Raw genomic sequence first — 19,739 nt, forward strand, 5'->3', positions numbered from 1 at the left:
AGAGGCTGGAGAGAGCATCACCCTATGAACAGCTTGATTTTGAACTTCTAGCCTCCAGAACTCTGAGAGAATGAATTTTTGTTGTTTTAAGCCACACAGTCTGTGGTGATTTGTCATGGTAGCCACAGGAAACTTAATACAAGGGTCTACATACATATGTTGATAGAGGCATATGAATCTTTTTTTCTCAAAAGATACATAAGAAATGTTCACCTTTGAGCAGAAGAACTAAGAGAAATAGATTATTGGCCTTTTTTTTTTTTTTTTTGAGACAGGGTCTCGCTCTGTTGCCCAGGGTGGAGTGCAGTGGCGTGATCACAGCTCACTGCAGCCTTGACTTTCCCCACTCAGGCGATTCTCCCACCTCAGCCTCCCAAGGATCTGAGACCACAGGCATCCACCACCATGCATGGCTAATTTTTATATTTTTTTGCAGAGACAGGGTTTTGCCATGTCGCTCAGGCTGGTCTGGAATTCCTGGGCTCAAACAATCCGCCCACCTCAGCCTCCCAAAGTGCTGGAATTACAGGATTGAGCCACCCCGCCCGGCCTCTTCACCATTTTATGCTTTTTGTCCTATTTGAATTCTTCACTATATATAGATATGTATATATGTCTTAATTTTTAAAAAATAGTGTCACACTGGGTTAAGTATTATAAACATAATCTGAGGCCACCCAATACACTGTCCCAATACAGACACAGGCAAAACATTATTTTGATGACTTTTACTTGTTAAAAAATGTTGTCTTTCTCCAGATAATAAATAAATAAATAAATAAATATTAGTGTCTACCAACAGCTTTAAAGTAAGTTTTGTGACAATTATCAATATCATAAGATACACATACGACAGAGATAAGATTGATAATTTTGGCTGGGCGCAGTGGCTCACACTTGTAATCTCAGCACTTTGGGAGGCTGAGGCAGGCAGATCACCTGAGGTCAGGAGTTCAAAACCAGCCTGGGCAACATGGTGAAACCCTGTCTCTACTAAAAATACAAAAATTAGCTGGATGTGGTGGCTGGCGCCTGTAGTCCCAGCTACTCAGGAGCCTGAGGCACGAGAATCACTTGAACCCAGGAGGCGGAGGTTGCTGTGAGCTGAGATCGTGCCACTGCACTCAAGCCTGGGCAACAGAGCGAGACTCTGTCTCAAAAAAAAAAATGCTAATTTATATATTAAGTATTGATAGTAAACCTAAACTTCTCTGCTGAATTAAAAAAAAAAAAAAAAGACAAGCCGCAGACTGGGAGAAGGTATCTGCAACTTGTATAATCACAAAAGTGTTAATATACAAAATATATAAAGATTTCCTACAAATCAATTTTAAAATGACTAACAACCCCAATGCGGGGAAATGAGCAAAGGAGATCAACAGATGGATAACAGAAAAGGAAACAGAAATAGCTCAAACACATGGAAAGGTATGCATCCTCATTAGAACATGGGAAAATACAAATTAACACAACCAGGAGACACTATTGTACACCCCTAAGGTGGACAAAATTTAAAACATCTAGTAATACAAATGGTGGCCAGAACATGAAGAAACAGGAGCTCACATACATGTCCAGAGATGCTGATGTAAGTGGTCTGGGAGGGGCCGGGCATACGTTTTATTTTGAAAGCTCTTCAGGTGAGTCCATTTCATTGTAACCCCATGAAAATCAGGGGACTGAGACCTACACGCTGGCCTGAGCACAGCGCCCTCTAGTGGTCTATATCTTCTTGGGTGCACCCTTCACACACCAGAGCCTGGGAGGTGGTGCAGGTGTTCTTGACTCTCACTGCTACTTCCAGATCACTTTCCTTCCTCCAAACCCACCCCTTCTCATTGCAGTCATCTAGTGAGCCCCATCACTTCATCAAGTATTCTAGCAGTACTCACTATTTCAATCCGATACCACCCCTTTCATAATTCTAGTGATTTCCATAGCTACATAGAGACTCTTCCATTCACCTGGCCTCTGAGTTCTTGGACATTCTCTCTTCTAATAATCTTGTCCTGCACCCTACCTCAGTCATGCATTCCCTTATTATATCCTAGATATCATTATTAGCAATGGCTGCACCCCCTCCATAATCTCAGTTGCCTGAATCCCACTTTCCTTCTCTCACCTCCAACTCTTCCTCCAGTGCCAACGATTCCCCAGCCCCACTGCACTGGACTGAAAGATCATGCTCCATCCTCTTCATTATTCTTCTGCAGCTACTTACTCCTCTTTCCTCAACCCAGTTTAAATCCAGCTCTCCACTGGACTACACTGAGCTTGAGTGGCTGAATATAGTTGGAGAAAATACACACCCATGCTGACTGGCTTACTTGAAATGTATGACTAGATCCCAGCCTCAAGAGAGCAGCCATCCTCCTACCCTCCTTACTACCCTTCCCTAGCCCCTTCACTCTCCTGTTCTCCTCTTTCACACCTCCTCTTGTCTCTTTCACTTCCAAAATCTCCTTCTCGTGTCTAGGTCCTCTTTATCTCTCTGGCATGGATTACCCAAGGCTCAGATTTGGACCACTTCTTTTCTAAATCCATGCATTGTCATCTGGGTCCGTGGCTTCAAAACTATCTGCTTGCTGATGTCTCCTCAATTACCAGCTCCAGGCCAGACTTCCCTGAACTCCAGACTCTCACATTCAACAGCCTACTAAATAGTTGCTAAAACATTCTTGTTGAAAACCAACATTCTCACGCGATGATGCTTCATTTTCACAATGAAAATAGATGCTACCAGAGGAGCATTTCCACATCTTCCCCTGAAATTCTATAAGCCTCCCCTGCATGAGTTCTACCTGAACTCTTGCTGTCCTTCGGAATGAACTCTCTGTGCCAAGAGCCAGCCCCTTCCCACTGAGCACTGGGTCCCCTTCCTGCTCATCTACTCAAGGAAGTCACTCTTGCAATGATCTTCTCTCTACTGTATCAACATTTTTCTGCTCTGATGTATTATTCCAATCACATTTTTTTTTATTTTAGATAAGGTTTCACTCCCATCACCCTGGCTGGAGTGCAGTGGCATGATCTTTGGCTCACTGCAACCTTCACCTCCCAGGTTCAAGGGATTTTCTTGCCTCAGCCTTCTGAGTAGCCTGGATTACAGGTGTGTGCCATCACTCTCCGCTAATTTTTGTATTTTTAGTACAGACGGGGTTTTGCCATGTTGGCCAGGCTGGTTTTGAATTCCTGGCCTCAAGTGATCTGCCCGCCTCAGCCTCCCAAAGTGCTGGGATTACAGGCGTGTGCCACCACACCTGGCCCCAATCACCATTTTTTTTTTTTTTTTTTTTTTTGAGATGGAGTTTTGCTCTGTCACCCAGGCTGGAGTGCAGTGGTGCAATCTCAGCTCACTGCAACCTCCGCCTCCCAGGTTCAAGCAATTCTCCTGCCTCAGCCTCCCGAGTAGCTGGGACTACAGGCACGTGCCACCACGCCCAGTTAATTTTTTGTATTTTTAGTAGAGACAGGGTTTCACCCTGTTAACCAGGATGGTCTCGATCTCCTGACCTCATGATCCGCCCGTCTTGGCCTCCCAAAGTGCTAGGATTACGGGCATGAACCACTACACCCGGCCCCCAATCACATTTTAAAGCAATAATTTCTCCCATCTAAAAAAAAAAAAAAAAAAAAAAAACTCCCTTTGAATCCACAACCTTCCCCTCCTTGCTCCTCTATATACCAGAACTCCTTGCAAGAGCTTTTACTGACTATCTCTAATTGTTCTCCTCTCATTCTCTTAAATGTACTTCAGTCAGGTTTCCTTCCCCACCGGTCAGAAGAAATAGCTCTTTTCAAGGTCACCAATGATCACCACATTGCCAAATCCACGGTCAATTCTCAATTTTTAGCTTCTTTGAACTATTAGCAGCGTTTAACACAGTTGAAAGATCCTGAAATGTTTTCTTGCCTGACTTCCTAGACCCCATATCCCACTCCCCACTCTCCCTTCCCTGAATTTCCTGCTAACTCATTGGCATTCCTTCCCAGTCTCCTTCTGGGTCCTCTTTATATCTCTGGCATGGAATACCCAAGACTTAGTCTTGGACCACATCTCTAACTCCATGCACTCTCATCCTGGTCCTTCAAACCAGGATGAAGTCCCAGACTTCCCTGAACTTCAGACTCACATTCAATAGCCTGCTAAATGCTTGCTAAACCATTACTGTTGCAAGCCAAATGCCTGAATCTTTACTACCTCTAACTCCAAACCTGCCCCCTCTTGCATCCTTCCTCATATCAATAAATGATATTTCTACTCTTCCAGTAGTGCAGACTAAAATCCTTGGAGTGATTAATGATTAATTTCTCTTTTGCTCAAACTCTACATTCAATCTATAGGCAAATTTTGTTGGATTTTTCTTTGAAATATGTCCATAAGCAAACACCTCTCATGTCCCCCACTACTCCCATGGTGGTCAAAAGCATCATCATCTTTCACCTGGATAACTGCAATGGCATCCTAACAGGTATGCCAGCCTCCATCCTTCTCTCCCCTCCCACCTTCACCCAATTCCAATATGACTAGAGTCAGATACTAGAATCATACTCAAAAGCCATAAGGGTGCCAGTCTCACTCAAAGTATAAACCAAAATCCCTCTGCCCATCTCTCAGCCTCCACTACCTCTATGGCCTCATTTTCTTCTACTCTTCCCCATCCTCCCTCTGCTCCAGCCACACTGGCCACCTTACCTTTCTGTGAATGCATCATCCATGCTCCCAAACTGCCTGAGACTGTCTACAGATATGGCCACTGTTCATTTCCCTACTTCCTTAAAGTCTACATTGCAATGCCACTTTATCAGTAAGGACTTCCTTGACCACAGTTGGTCCTACCCATCATTCCCTAAACCCTGTAGATTCTATAGCCTGCTTTACTCCACCACCTCATATAGACCCTCTAGTTAGGGTCTATCTCCCTTTCTGTGGAGTGTAAGTTCTTGAATACCAGGAGTTTGCTTTGCTTCTTTTGTACTCCAAGCACCTACAGCCGTATTTGGTACACAGTGCATGCTTTCAGAAAGGTTATGTTGAATAAATGGTTGACCCATAATGAAGGGCGACTCAGCAATGTCTAGTAAAGGGGAACCAGCTATTCCATTTTTTTCCTAGATACTAAAAAATATATTCAAAGGTGGCAATTGTAGCATTATATGTAATTGAGTGAAATATGAAGCACAATAAAGTAGATCAATCGGGAAATAAATTGTGGCATATTCATGCCCTCCTATGAAGACTTTGAAATGAATGTGCTAGAGCTACATGTGTGAATATGAATGATTCTCAAAAATATAATGCAAGTTAACAAGTGTACAGGATGTCCTTAATATTCTAAAACATTGAAAAACAATTATACGTGCATTTGTGGGTGAGGACATATGCAGCAAACATTTAGAAATATGAGTGAGGGGGGCTGTGCATGGTGGCTCACACCTGTAGTCCCAGTACTTTAGGAGGCTGAGGCGGGAGGATTGCTTAAAGCCAGGAGTTTGAGACCAGCCTGGGCAACACAGCAAGACCACGACTCTACAAAAAAATTTAAAAATTTGCTGGGTGCAGTGGCACCCTGTGATCCTAGCTCCTTGTGAGGCTGAGGCAGGAGGATTGCTGGAGCCCAGGAGTCTGAGGCCGCACTGAGCCGTCATCACACCACTGCACTCCAGCCTAGGTGACAGAGTAAGACCTCATTCCTAAATAAGAAAGAAAGAAATATGGGTGGGAGGGATATACAACCACCTCAAGAAAATGGCTACCTGCAGAGATGGTGGACAATGGAAGGGATAGGGTTTCAAACATATCCGTAACATTTTTTTCTTTGCAAAGAAAATTCTAAAATAAATACTGCAAAAAATTTTGTTAAATCTAGATATCATCATAGTATTTCCTATATTTTTTACACAAATAAGTATTTGTCATATTATTCTTTACTTTTCTATATATTTTAAATACTCCAGAAAATTTTTAAATGAACTTAAAATGTTTTACATTGCAAATAAATAAAATATCTGAAATAAAATCTGGTAGTCCTGGAAGCAGCTACATGAGTAAAAGGGACAAATTTGCAGTGGGCAAAACAAAAAACAAACTTGTTGCCAGGATAGTTTGCTTTATTTTCTTTATTGGATAGGTGTGGTTTGGGTCAAAGGAGAAGAGGAACTCAGCCCTTTAAAAAGAGAACATCTGATTGGGCTGTTACGGCACAGCAGGGAAGGGAAGGCAGGTTAGCAAAGGTGCTTGCTGTCTCTGGGCAGGAGCAGAAGTCCCAGGCACAGACGTCTGTGTATATGCTACACCAAAACACACCTGTTGCAACTGGAACATAATTTGATAACACTCGCAAAGCCAGAACTGGAAGGGACTGTGCCGAGCAATGCTCTTTATTTTAGAGGTGGAAAAACTGAGTTACAGAAGCCACGTGTTAGTTAAGGTTCAAAGTCTCGCTCAATTCAAAAAGGCTATTGATCTCAATTTAAAGCAGTTTCCACCCACTCTCACATTAAGATAACTTTCTGGTTTTTCTATGAATTTAAAAATGACAGGCTGGGTGTGGTGGCTCACGCCTGTAATCCCAACACTTTGGGAGGCCGAGGTGGGCAGATCACTTGAGGTCAGGAGTTCGAGACCAGCCTTGCCACCATGGCAAAACCCTGTCTCTACTGAAAACACAAAAATTAGCCGGGTGTGGTGGCACGCACCTGTAATCCCAGCTACTCAAGAGGCTGAGGCAGAAGAATCGCTTGAACCCAGGAGATGGAGATGGTGCCACTGCACTGCAGCCTAGGCCACAGATCAAGACTCTGTCCTCCTAAAAAATAAAATAAAATAAATATTCAGTAGCTTAAAAAATTATTAATATAAAAATATTTAATAAAAATATTAAATAAGAAATATAGCCAGGCACGGTGGCTCATGCCTGTAATCCCAGCACTTTGGGAGGCCGAGGTGGGTGGATCACCTGAGGTCAGGAGTTCGAGACCAGCCTGGCCAACATGGTGAAACCCCGTCTCTACTAAAAAATACAAAAATTAGCCGGGTGTGGTGGCACGCACCTGTAATCCCAGCTACTCAAGAGGCTGAGGCAGGAGAATTGCTTGAACCCAGTAAGCAGAGGCTGCAGTGAGCTGAGATCACGCCACTGCTTTCCAGCCTGGACGACAGAGCAAGACTCCATCTCAAAAAAATGAATTAATAAATTAATTAATATATATATGGAAGAAACTGGAATATAAGGAGCAAACTAATTGTCAATAGGAGAATGATTGAATGAAATATAATTACAAACATATTGCAATATATAAGACAAGTCTTAGAAGAGTGGTTTTGGTTGATATGTATTGACCAAGAAAGATGATTATAATATATAATAAATAGGGGGAAATTTACAAAATACGTCAACATCTCGCCATTTTTATAAAAAAGCAAACAAAAAGCTGTTTATGCATACATGTATTTATATAAGCTTAGAAAAACTATGGTAGGATCCACACACTATAAAAAATGGTAGTGATATTGAAAGGGAGAGACTAGGGCTATTTTTTCTTTAACTTTGAATTTATAATTCTTCAAAAAGAAGAAGGGATGGAGTGAGAGAGGAGAAAATCTGCCTTAAACACATCGCTCAGAAAGAATCACTATTTTTAAATTGTATTTCCTCCGACTTTTATAGAAAATACAAAATTGTTTACAAAACTAGTTAATACTATAAACACTGCGCTTCCTCCGCATCTGAGTTCATATTAAGCCATATTTGAGGAAGGCCTTCATATGTGGCCTTCCCTCCATGTCAACGAATCCTCATTTTTAAGGGCTACAACATATTCGATGTCTGAAGTTACTGTAGCTTACTTCACCAATCTTACTGGGGGACATTGAGATTGTCTCCGGCTTCCCCCCGCAGAAACAACTACAACAAACATCCTTGTACATACATATTTGCCCATTTGACTGCCTACTTAGGACAAATTCACAAATGTGGAATTCCTAGGCCAAAGCTAATACATCGGAGTTTTAACCCACAGCTCCAAACTGGCCTTCTGGAAAGTGGGTTTTCGTTGTTTGTTTGGGGTTTGTTTGTTTTAAATCTATCACACTCCCACCGACAGGGCAAGGGAGTGCTGCTTAACGCAGAATCAGGAGATCAAACTTTAGCTGAATTTGAGCGACCTCTTCCCAGTGACACGGCGGGGGGTTTTCCAAGCCCTTTTAAGGAAAGGAAAGGGATCTGGCGAACCCCGAGACCCACCCGCCCTGGGCTGGAGAGGCGGCGCGCTCTGGCTTTCCGCGCTGGCACAGGGGTGGGACAAGCCAAGTTTCCAGGAGACTCGCCCAGCGCGGGCCCGGCCCTCGCAGCGTGGGGGTGGCCGGGCGTCCCCGCGGCGCTCCTCGTGGGGCGGGGCGCAGGCGGGGCGGGGCCCCCTCTCCAGCCGCCCGCCCTCCGGCCGCGTCCCCGCCGGCCCTGCAGACGTGGCGGGGCGGGACCCGCTGGGCACTCCCGCGCGTACTCGGCCGCCTGAGCGGTAAGAGCCCCGGGCACTCGGTCCCCATCCCCTTCCCCGGGGGGCGGGCGAGCGCGGGGGCGGCTGCCCGGGGGTGGTGGGAACACCATACCTTGGCGCCTCGTCCGGGACCCACGAATCCTGCCCTCTGCGTTAGTGAGAAGCAGTGGTCAGGGAGGACCCGGCTCTGGGGTGAGGGTCTGGGGCGGCGCGGCCGAGGGACCTGCGTGGGTGCGGGCGTGTGAGTGTGTGTGTGTGAGTGTGTGTCGCTCCGGGTCCACGCTCATGCACACACCCACACGCCCACACTCAGGGTCTGCCCCCTCGGCCTGCGTGAACCTCCGCGGAGCCTGCCTGGATCTCCCAAAGTATCCAGTCCTGGCACCAAGCAAGTCTGGAAAAGTGCCCCCAATGGCTCGGGGCCAAGTCAGAGGTGGGCTGCAGGGTCCCCCAGCCCGGGCACGAAGGGAGCAGGTCCCTGTAAGACAGAGGCCTCGTCCCAGGGTGCGCCTGCCCTCGGCCTTGGCACAGGGAGCTCAGGCCTTGACCTCCCCGCTCCCCTCGCCTTACTCCTCCCCCAACAGCCGACCCACGCCCTGCCTGCTCTTCCAGTCCAGCCAACACTCTAAGCAGGCACCGCCTCCACTCGCAGCCCCCGGGATGGGTCCCACTCCCTACCGCAGATCCCCAGGCCCCCTCCACCCAGTCGGCTAGCCCTCGCCTCTGCCATCCGGTGAGTATTTCCAGGCACCTCAGACCAGGCGCCTGAACGTCACTGCCTTTTCTTAAGTAGGAAGACATCTCTCTATGGGCTGTGAGAGCATTACCTATGCCCTACTGATCCCATCATTTCCCATCCTAAACATCTTGAAGGACACAGGCAGGTGGCTTCTTAAATCAGTGTGCTCTGAACTCCCTGTGACCTCAGCCAACCTGTGACAACTGAGAATGAGACAGGCTCTATCCTCAGAGCCTCTTTTTGCCCTCTCTGCAGCCTAGTGGCTCCTTCCCTACCCCACCCATAGGCCTGCGTCCCCGCCCTCCTTTCTTCCATCAAGCCTGAGCTTGGGAAAGAATCTGATAAACTTCTTACATTGTAACCTTTAAGTGAAGGAATGAGACGTTAGGGATGGATTTGAGGCACAAGTGAGACAGTGCAGAAGGAATTTGAGGGTTGGAGGGGGCTTTCTTGAATCTGAGCGATTCAGACCATAAAAGTAAACTTGTCTTTGTTTATTTGACCAGGCTTACATCAAACATGGTTTCTCTTTTATTAATATCAAACACAATGTATTTCAATTCAGTAAATATCTGAGGGACAGAAACCAACCTAGGTGCTGTTGGTCACAGTCTTGGAGGACAGAATGGCAGAAGTAAATACTCCATAAATACATGGAATAGAAATCTGTGCAAAGTGCCAAAAACATAGAAGAGGTAGCAGTTATTTCATTGGAAGCAGTGGGGCAGATTAAGGAAAAATTCAGAATGAAAGGTAACATTAGACACTGGGTGTCTAGAGGAATAGGAGTTTGCCAGGCAGCTGGAGGAAGGGCAGCACCGGGGCAGAGGAACCAGCGTAAGCAAAGGCAGGGAGATGTGAAGAGTTATGGGGAATGGAGAAAAGACTGGTGAGGCAGGAGTGGAGGATACTGAGAGTTGCAAGAGGTGGAGAGAGATTGGAGCTGGATTATGATGGGAAGTGTGAAGATATTTACACCTAATGGTTTTTGAACAGGAGAGCAAATAGGTCCAAAAATGCCTGGCAGCCTCACAGAGAATAGGCTGGAGCCTGGGTACGTAGACTTGTCAAGCTTTATACAAACTCATACAAACTGCTACAACCTGATTAAGAGCCTCTCATCCAGAGTTTTTATTCCTGGTCCTTCGCTGACTGGCACTGTTTTTGTTTTTTTTTTTTAACTGGGGGAGATGACCTCACACAGGATATCATGCTAACCAAATTTTTATGCTGCCAAGTCAGGCCATTTTTTTTAAAAAAATCCATCCACTGTCACTATTTCATAAAATGAAAGACATTTTAATACCAAGAAAAAGCACAAAGGCTAAACTTGAAAGATGAAGGCAGTCCTTTACATTTAATAAATTTAGATTTATGAAAAACTTGCAATCTTGTCCTCATTTTTCTCTATCATCACAGACTTGCCCCAGTCCTGCAGGTGGAGTTTGGAAAAAAAAGCATCCAGATCAGTTTGTCCATCCTAGCTTTACAGAGGAGCAGGTGTAAGCACAGTGAGGATCAAGTTGTGTGCCCACAAAGGGATACTGGGACCAGAGGCCACATCCCTTGACGCCTGCAGGACACAACTCTTTCCACCTCAGAATACCATCGCTCCCACCTCTCATCATTCCTCCATGCAGCCTCATGTCCTGGCCTCTCAGACACCTGTCCTGAATCACTACAGTCCATCGCTGATGCTTGGACATTTGCACATGCTCTCATCCCACCAGGCCTGAATCACCACATCAAAGACACTTTCAAGATTCTCCCTTGCACAGGGTCAGTCTAGTTCAGGCACATCTGTCCTTGATTTGCTGTGCTGTTTTGCATCACTTTTTAACTGTTTTGTGTTAGCTCCTCAAACAGATGATTGATTTCTGAAGGATAGTGACCATGTCTTCTGTTTTATACTTATTTTTGGAGCTGTGATGTTGCTGCTTAAATACCTTGCATAGTTCTGGGAGCATTTTAGGTGATGAATGAATTTACTCACGAAAAACTAACTTATTCCCAGCCCACAAAGGCTTCTTTATATGCCACCCTTCCTCTCCTTAGAGTTTCCTGAAGCAGCCTCCTTGTTTCTGTGGGTTGAGTCTCCCTAGCCTCCAGTCCACGAGACATGGCTACAGTGATCAGTGTTCCTAACCATAAATCAGGAAAGGTTTCTAAGTCTGGCTTATGGAACACCCAGACGGAGATGGAAACCGTCCCAGGAAACACAGTGCTTGTCATGACTGTAATCCTGGTGGACTCCAGCAGCCCCTGCTCAGAAACAGTTCTGTATTTCAAACACACAGTTTCTAGTGGTTTCATACAAAAGGGTATAGTCTGAAAAATGATTACATTTCCCCCATCATGATAGCATCCACAGTCGATAAAGTTCTACCAGAACAACCAAACAAAAAATAATTTTTTTTCGTTTTGATTTGGGGAAAATTAGACCTGTAACAAGTAGAGATAAATATGGATTAGAGATACACACAATTAGAAATTGAATTAGAGCTGATCTTGCATGGCTTTCTTTTTTTTCTTTCTTTTTTTTTTTTTTTTTTTTTGCGACAGGGTCTCACACTGTCACCCAGGCTGGAGTGCAGTGGCATGATCCTGGCTCACTGTAGCCTCTGCCTTCCAGGTTCAAGCAATTCTCATGCCTCAGCCTCCAGAGTAGCTGGGATTACAGGCACATGCCACCATGCCCAGCTAATTTTTTTGTATTTTTAGTAGAGACAGGATTTCACTCTGCTGGGCAGGCTGGTCTGGAACTCCTGGCCTCAAGTGATCTGTCTGCCTTGGCCTCCCAAAGTGCTGGGATGTGAGCCACTATGCCTGACCGATGACCATTTTTAAATTTAACAGATGTAAAGATCTAGTATTAATAAAATTTATAAATTATCCATAAATATTTTAAACAATAATCTATAAATATTTTAAATAATAATCCATAAATATTTTTTGACAATAGTCCATAAATATGTTTTAACAATGCCTGTTTAACATCTTACAGCTGAGTTTCTGGGGTATTTCTGAAGGGATGGTTTGTGTTGGTTGAATGCAGAACAGCCACAGAGAGGAGTTTTACTGCAGTACTTTTTCTACATTTGGGATAAACTGACCTAAGGTAATTTGGCCATCAGAGATAGGTAAGGGCTCTAGGTTTCCTCCTCTGCAACTTCCCTACCAAGAGTTAAATTACCATGAATCCAAGTTCACTGATGGAATTCTGCCATAAACCCACACATGTATTAGCAAACAGGCTTAGTTAACCAGTCTGTTCTTATAAGCTCAAGGAAGTCCTAGCTCACTGTCCTTTTAGGCCTGTGTTCTAGAGGCAGGACTCAACTAAGCTTCTAGTCACCTTCAGGCTTTGGAGTCCTGCATTCAGCTAGAGAACCTAGAAGAACGCTACTCCAAAGGGTAAGTCAGCTGCTGGATTCAGTGCAATCTCATGTCTTGGGTATAGAAGCAGAGAAGGCACCTGTACGTTATTTCTTGTCGATCCACATACCTGAGGCATCTTTCATGTCACCAGTGAAAAATTATTTCTCATATCCCTTATGCTAATTAGCATACCCTGGAGTGCCCATCAGAGAAGACGGTAGATGAACCCTCTAAAAAGAGGTGGTCACCTCATTACGGATTTTTAAGTGCTTACTAAAGACCCCTGGATAGTATATTCCTGAATAAGGCACTTCAAATGTCATCCAGCCACCCTTAGGGCACAAATTAAAACTAAGTAACATGCACGTGTCACATAGTATATGCTGAACTATTTTAGGATACTTCATGAACAAGATAACAACACATGAGGGCAAGGCTTGTACATTTAGGCATCCATAATGGTTTTTATTTACCCATAAGTGTTTATCACAGCCAGATTTACTCTGATGTTCCTGCTTATAGAAAACTGAAATATTTTGGGACTTCCTAATAATCCAGATTAATAATAAGGATTTTCAAATTACCTTACAAAGAAATAAAAATATCAGACAATGTCTACCATCTACCGATTTAAAAAAATGAGAATAAAAGTGATGGCAAGGTATCATTTATTCATGAACCCATTCTCCTCATTGTTGTGTCCATACGACTCATGTGAGGATAATAAATTAAGACAGGGAAATCTTTAGGCCATGGCAATCAAGCAAAGTCCTAGGCCATGGGTAAGCAGACATTTTCGGAAACCGGCCAGATAGTAAATATTTTAGGCTTTGTGACTTTGCAGCCCATATGGCCTGTGTTGCAATGACTCAGCTCCGCTATTGTAGTGCCAGAGAAACCATGACGGTCCCATATGTAAACAAAGGGTGTATCTCTGGTCCAATAAAACTGTGTTTACCAAAACAGGCAGAGGACAAGAGTTGGCCAGCAGACTGGTTTGCCAACACCCTGTCCTAGGCTAGTCCTGATTCAGAGAGAGGTTTTCACAAAGATTTTGTAAACTTCCAAATGACAACAGCCTTTTTAGCAGCCCCCATCAATTCTACTCACCTCCCATAAACCACCCACAATACTACCCCTTCTCTATACAGTGGGTTTCTATCGTTCTTTACTATTTCAGCTAGGCTTGAACCTGGCTCCTTGACAGCCCACGGCCAACCTTGAATATCCTAAACTTTGTATACCAGCTCAAGGGAAGTCTGCATTCGTTGCCATTCTTACATGTAGACTTGTTTACAGGAATATTATCACTGAATTCAAGGTCTGGCAGATATTTTTGCTTACACAAATACATTCTAACTCAATTAACTGGGAGGTGAAGGAAAAAAGAAAGACAATACGGAAATGTCAAGTCATTTGGAACCATCTGCTGTAAGAGAGCTCCTGAGTGTCTGTACACAAATATTAATCTAACTCAACAGGCATATTTGTTGAGCTTCCTACTATGCACAGGAAGCCATGCCAAGTACTATGTAGAATATGAATACAAAACAAGGAAGGTCTTTGTCTTTATAGAATTTACAAATCATAGGAAAAACTGAAGCAACTCTAATCAAAGAGGACTTTAACTGTCTAAAGTAAGATAAACACAAAATGCCCTCAGAAGGGTTCAGAAGGAAAATGTTCAACCTGGAGGAACAAAGAATGGAGGAGGCGGTTATTTTAACTGGGTCTTCAATGTGCAAAAGAACAACATATGGAACTAACAGCCCCCGAGGGTCTCTTGTGGATGTGCCAGGCATTGCACAGATATTTACACTGTCTCATTTAAGGTTTTATAGGAAATCGTGGGAGGTAAGCCTGGTGGGATCAGAGCACAGAGGTCCCTGGATACTAGCTGAAGCATGTGGCCTCATCTCAGGAGGGAGAGGAAGGGGAAGCTCCTGAGGATGTGTGAGCAGGAGAGCCATGTAATTAGAGCCGTGAGGTGAAGGATGGGAAGTAAGGGGAAGAGCTGCAGTGAACAGGGGAACCCAATACTGAAATAGTCATCATGAACCATAATGAGGACCTTGCCATGAGAATAGGAGTAAAAGAATGTAGATAGATTCTCAATAAAGAGCCTCTAGGATTTGGCCACTGACTGAATGTAAGAAAAGAGGCAGATGGCATTGCTGATAGGGCTCTGATGTGGTTCAGTCTCAAAGTCAGACACGGGTTCAAATTTCAAATGTAGAATTTACTAAAAGTGTGACTTCTGAGCTTCAGTTTCCTCGTCTGTAAAATGGAGCTGATAACATTCAACTCACAGGAGATAATACATTTAAAGAGCATGGATACAGTAAGCACTCAATAAATGATAGCTGTTGATACTATATATTCTTGAGAGGGTGAAAGCGTGGTAAATGACAGCTCTGAGTTATTGGGAAAATCTATGTGTGAGATGGTGTCTCATTATGGTTTTTATTTGCATTTCTCTAATGATTAGTGGTGGTGTGCATTTTTTCATATGCTTGTTGGCCACCTATATGTTTTCTTTTGAGAAGTACCTATTTATGTCATTTGCCCATTTTTTAATGGTTTTTGTTTTGTTTTTTGCTTGTTGATTTAAGTTCCTTACAGATTCTGGATATTAGACCTTTGTCACATGCATAGTTGCAAATATTTTCTGCCATTATGTAAGTTGTCTATTTATTCTGTTGGTAGTTTCTTTTGCTGTGTAGAAGCTCTTTTGTTTAATTAGCTCCCACTTGTCAATTTTTGTTTTTGCTGCAATTGCTTTTGGAGTCTTTGTCATGAAATCTTTGCCAGGGCCGATATCCAGGATAGTGTTTCCTATGTTCCTAGGTTTTCTTCTAGAGTTTTTATAGTTTTGGGTTTTACATTTAAGTCTTTAGTCCATCTTGAGTTTATTTTTGTATATGGTATAAGGAAGGGGAACAGTTTCAATCTTCTGCATATGGCTGGCCAGTTATCCCAGCACAATTTATTGAATAGGGAGTCCGTTCCCCATTGTTTGTCATTGTTGGCTTTGTCAAAGATCAGATGGTTTAGGTGTGTGGCTTTATTTCAGAGTTCTCTATTCTGTTCTGTTGGCTTATGTGTTTTATTTTTGTGCCAGTACCATGGTGTTTTGGTTACTATAACCTTGTAGTATAGTTTGAAGTTGGGTAGTGTGATGTCTCCAGCTTTGTTCTTTTTGCTTAGGAATGCTTTGTCTATTTGGGCCCTTTTTTGGTTCCACATGAATTTTAGAATATTTTTTTCTAATTCTATGAAAAACATCATTGGTAGTTTGATAAGAATAGCATTGAATCTGTACATTGCTTTGGGTAGTATGGCCATTTTAACAATAATGATTCTTCCTATCCATGAGCATGGAAAATTTTTCCATTTGTGTCATCTCTGATTTCTTTGAGCATTGTTTTGTAATTCTCATTGTGGAGCTCTTTCATCTCCCTGATTAGCTGTATTCCTACGTATTTTGTTCTTTTTGTGGCTATTGTGAATGGAATTGCATTCTTGATTTCACCGTCAGCTTGGACATTATTGGTGTATAGAAATGCTACTGATTTTTGTACATTGATTTTGTATCTTGAAACTTTGCTGAAGTTGTTTATCAGATCTAGGAGCCTTTGGGCAGAGACTATGGGATTTTCTAGGTGTAGAATCATATCATCTGCAAAGATAGTTTGTCTTCCTCTCTTCCTATTTTATTTCGTTCTCTTGTCTGATTGCTCTGGCTAGGACTTCCACTATTGTGTTGAATAGAAGTAGTAAGAGTGGGTATCCTCGTCTTGTTCTGGTTCCTAAGGGGAATGCTTCCAGTTTTTGCCCCTTCGGTATGATGTTAGCTGTGGGTTTGTCATAAAAGGCTCTTATTACTTTGAGATATGTTCCTTCAATGCTTAGTTTGTTGAGACAGAACATTTTTATCACCACCGAAAGTTCCATTGAATAGTGCTGTTCTACATGATATCAATAATTTGTAAGCTTTAAAAGAGTTTTCTGCTTTAATGGCTACATTCCTTATTTGGTTTCTACCTCACTTCTTACCCTTTAAGTTTATCCTTGACTAAACCATGGTCTAGACCTTCATCAGCTGGTCCCCAACAAGGAATACTGTGTGTGTATAGGTCTCTTTCTCACTGTGAATTTCTGACAAAGATGTTACAAAGCTAAATGGCAAGTATTTTTTTTGATAAGTGCTCAGGTATTTTCTAGACTTATTCTTTTTTCTTTTTTTTTTTTTTTTTTTTGAGACGGTCTCGCTTTGTCGCCCAGGCTGGAGTGCAGTGACACGATCTCAGCTCACTGCAACCTCCACCCCCCAGGTTCAAGCAATTATTGTGCCTCAGCCTCCTAAGTAGCTGGGACTACAGGTGCATGCCACCATGCCCAGCTAATTTTTGTATTTTTAGTAGAGACAGGGTTTCACCATGTTGGCCTTGGCTGGTCTTGAACTCCTGGCCTCATGTGATTCACCCACCTCAGCCTACCAAAGTGCTGGGATTACAGGTGTGAGCCATTGCACCCTGCCTTCCTATGCTTATTCTCATTATTGCTACAAATATAATTAATAAAGCCAGAGTCAATAATTTTAAAGATACAGGTATTACTCTTAGTTCCCATAGGCGTAGTCTTTCATGCCAAGTAAGAGCTCCAGGAAAGTTTAAAGATAGCCCTGTAGGTTTCTGTTAGCTTCCTATCAGTGCTGTGACAAATTACAACTAACTTCACGGCTTTTGCCAACACAGACTTATTCTCTTGGAGTTCTGGAGGTCAGAAGTCTGAAATCAGTGTCCATGGGCTAAAGTCAAGTTGCTGGCAGCCTGATTCCTTCTAGAGTCTTTGAGGGGAGAGTGGTTTCTTTTCCCTTTTCAGCTTCTGGTGGCCACCCATATTCCTTGGCTTTGGGCCCCTTCCTTTATCTTTGAAGTGCGTCACTCCAGCCTCTGCTTCTGTCATCACATCACCTTTTCCTCTTTGTAATCAAATCTCCCTCTGCCTCCATATGATAAGGACACTTGTGATTACATTTAAGGCCAACTCAGATGATCTAAAATAATCCCCTCATCTCAAGATCCTTATCTTACTCACATCTGCAAGGTCCCTTTTGTTATGTAAGGTAACACTCACAGGTTCCAGGAATTGGGATGTGGTTATCTTGGGGGCCATTCATTATTCCAGCAGTCCCCAACCTTTTTGGCACCAGGAACTAGTTTTGTGGAAGACAATTTTCCCACAGATCAGCAGAAAGGGGTGCGGGGGAGATGCTTTTGGGATGATTCAAGCACATTACTATTGTGCACTTTATTTCTATTATTATTACGTTGTAATTTATAATGAAATAATTATACAACTCACCACAAGGTAGAATCAGTGGGAGCCCTGAGCTTGTTTCCCTGCAACTAGATGCTCCCACCTGGGGATGATGGGAGACAGATCATCAGGCATTAGATTCTCATAAGGAGTGCACAGCCTAGATCCCTCACACGTGCAGTTCACAATAGGGTTCATGCTCCTATGAGAATCTAATGCCACCACTGATCTGATAGGAGGCGGAGTTCAGGTGGTAATGCGAGCGATGGGGAGCAGCTGTAAATACAGAGGAAGCTGTGCTCACTCACCTGCCACTCACCCACTGCTGTGCAGCTTGGTTCCTAACAGGCCATGGACTGGTACAAGGAATAATGCAGGGTTGGGGACCCACAAGGTTACATAGAGTATTGGTTAAAAAAAAGTTTGCCCTGGCCGGGCGCGGTGGCTCACGCCTGTAATCCCAGCACTTCGGGAGGCCAAGGTGGGTGGATCACCTGAGGTCGGGAGTTCGAGACCAGCCTGACCAACATGGAAAAACCCCGTTTCTACTAAAAACACAAAATAAGCCAGGCGTCGTGGCACATGCCTGTAATCCCAGCTACTCGGGAGGCTGAGGCAGGAGAATCGCTTGAACCTGGGAGGCGGAGGTTGCAGTGAGCTGAGATCATGCCATTGCACTCCAGCCTAGGCAACAAGAGCGAAACTCCGTCTCAAAAAAAAAAAAAAAGTTTTCCCCTACCAGATTTATTTATCCAGGGCTTTGAATTGAAGCTTAACAATTCGATGAAAGCATGAGGTGTTTATAATTGTGTTGACAGATACTAAAATGTCTGATGATGCTGGTGACACCTTAGCCACTGGAGACAAAGCAGAAGTTACTGAGATGCCTAATAGTGATTCTTTACCTGAGGATGCAGAAGTGCATTGTGATTCAGCTGCAGTTTCACATGAGCCAACACCAGCTGACCCCAGAGGGGAGGGGCATGAAAATGCAGCTGTGCAGGGTGCAGGGGCTGCCGCCATTGGGCCCCCTGTGCAGCCTCAGGATGCCAACGCCCTGGAGCCCCCTCTCAATGGAGACGTGACTGAGGATACACTTGCTGAATGTATTGATTCCGTCAGCCTTGAGGCAGAACCCAGATCCGAAATACCCCTGCAAGAACAGAATTATCTGGTAAGAATGGGTCATTCAATTCACTTCGGCCTAAGTTCTTGCTTATATCTACCGTGTGCAGAGCTAGCACCAAGCTCTGTGGGTGGGAATTGGGAGTTCAAAATGTACTGTGACATCCCCTCTGTCATCAGAAATGTGTAGTGAGATTAGACATATATAAAAATAATTTGTCATAATATTTGCATTTTGATAAGTGTATTATTAACAGTAACAGCCACCAATTATCAGACACAAGCCGTGTGCCAGGCACTCTGCTAGCCACTTTCTATGTTATGTAATTCACTCCATCAACAGTTCAAACCTGGGTATTACTAACTCCAGCTTATACCTGTGGCAACCAGGCTCAGAGGTGGTAGCTTGTCCTGGGCTACTTGGTTGTAAATGGAAAACATTGTAATATCACACATCATGACTCCAGATAATTAACAAGCCTGATTCCACCCTAAACAAGTCAATGTTTCTTTAAGATCACTTAAAATCTGATGTATATTTACAAGTCCATAGTGGAGATCTTCAGCCTTCAGATCACTGTTTTATCATCACACATCACCTTCCAGGGGAACAGAGGCAGAATGCACTCATCACCCCTCCCCTTTCAGTGCCTGCACCTATCTCTCAGGGTATGAG

The 19,739-nt window shown here is 43.7% G+C and overlaps 2 protein-coding genes and 1 non-coding gene across 12 annotated transcripts in view, besides 3 other annotated features; 2 read left to right on the forward strand and 1 right to left on the reverse strand.

Moving 5' to 3' along the window:
• Positions 1–9,076, reverse strand: part of TLR6 (toll like receptor 6) — a 45,494-nt gene extending 36,418 nt beyond the window's left edge. The window contains exon 1 of the mRNA XM_047449498.1: positions 8,612–9,076. The gene's annotated coding sequence lies outside the window, so the exon portion shown is untranslated. The remainder of the gene's footprint in view (positions 1–8,611) is intronic.
• Positions 8,256–8,735: a silencer, noted in NCBI's record as "silent region_15364". NCBI's record gives its function as "represses an Ori minimal core promoter by ATAC-STARR-seq in GM12878 lymphoblastoid cells {active_cell/tissue: GM12878}" and the evidence as "EXISTENCE:reporter gene assay evidence [ECO:0000049][PMID:35858748]".
• FAM114A1 (family with sequence similarity 114 member A1) overlaps positions 8,492–19,739 on the forward strand; it is a 77,934-nt gene continuing 66,686 nt past the window's right edge. For 4 of the 10 annotated variants that reach the window (NM_001375792.1, NM_001375793.1, NM_001350632.2 and 1 more), the window contains exons 1-2: positions 8,492–8,520; positions 18,757–19,112. In NM_001375792.1, coding sequence (NP_001362721.1) covers positions 18,765–19,112 — 348 coding nt within the window. In that variant the 5' untranslated portion in view covers positions 8,492–8,520; positions 18,757–18,764. Of the gene's footprint in view, positions 8,521–9,083; positions 9,233–18,756; positions 19,113–19,739 lie in introns of all 10 variants that reach the window. The other 6 variants (NR_033290.2, NM_001350634.2, NM_001350633.2 and 3 more) reach the window with 3 other exon arrangements.
• MIR574 (microRNA 574) lies at positions 8,718–8,813 on the forward strand. Its single transcript, NR_030300.1, has one exon. It is a non-coding gene; the product is annotated as a microRNA 574 (primary transcript).
• Positions 8,786–8,835: a silencer, noted in NCBI's record as "silent region_15365". NCBI's record gives its function as "represses an Ori minimal core promoter by ATAC-STARR-seq in GM12878 lymphoblastoid cells {active_cell/tissue: GM12878}" and the evidence as "EXISTENCE:reporter gene assay evidence [ECO:0000049][PMID:35858748]".
• Positions 9,043–9,626: an enhancer, noted in NCBI's record as "H3K4me1 hESC enhancer chr4:38869978-38870561 (GRCh37/hg19 assembly coordinates)". NCBI's record gives its function as "activates a minimal SCP1, AML or CMV promoter by ChIP-STARR-seq in naive H9 embryonic stem cells {active_cell/tissue: H9 hESC(naive)}" and the evidence as "EXISTENCE:reporter gene assay evidence [ECO:0000049][PMID:30033119]".

Source organism: Homo sapiens, chromosome 4 (genome assembly GCF_000001405.40).
Source record: "Homo sapiens chromosome 4, GRCh38.p14 Primary Assembly".
NCBI lineage: Eukaryota > Metazoa > Chordata > Mammalia > Primates > Hominidae > Homo > Homo sapiens.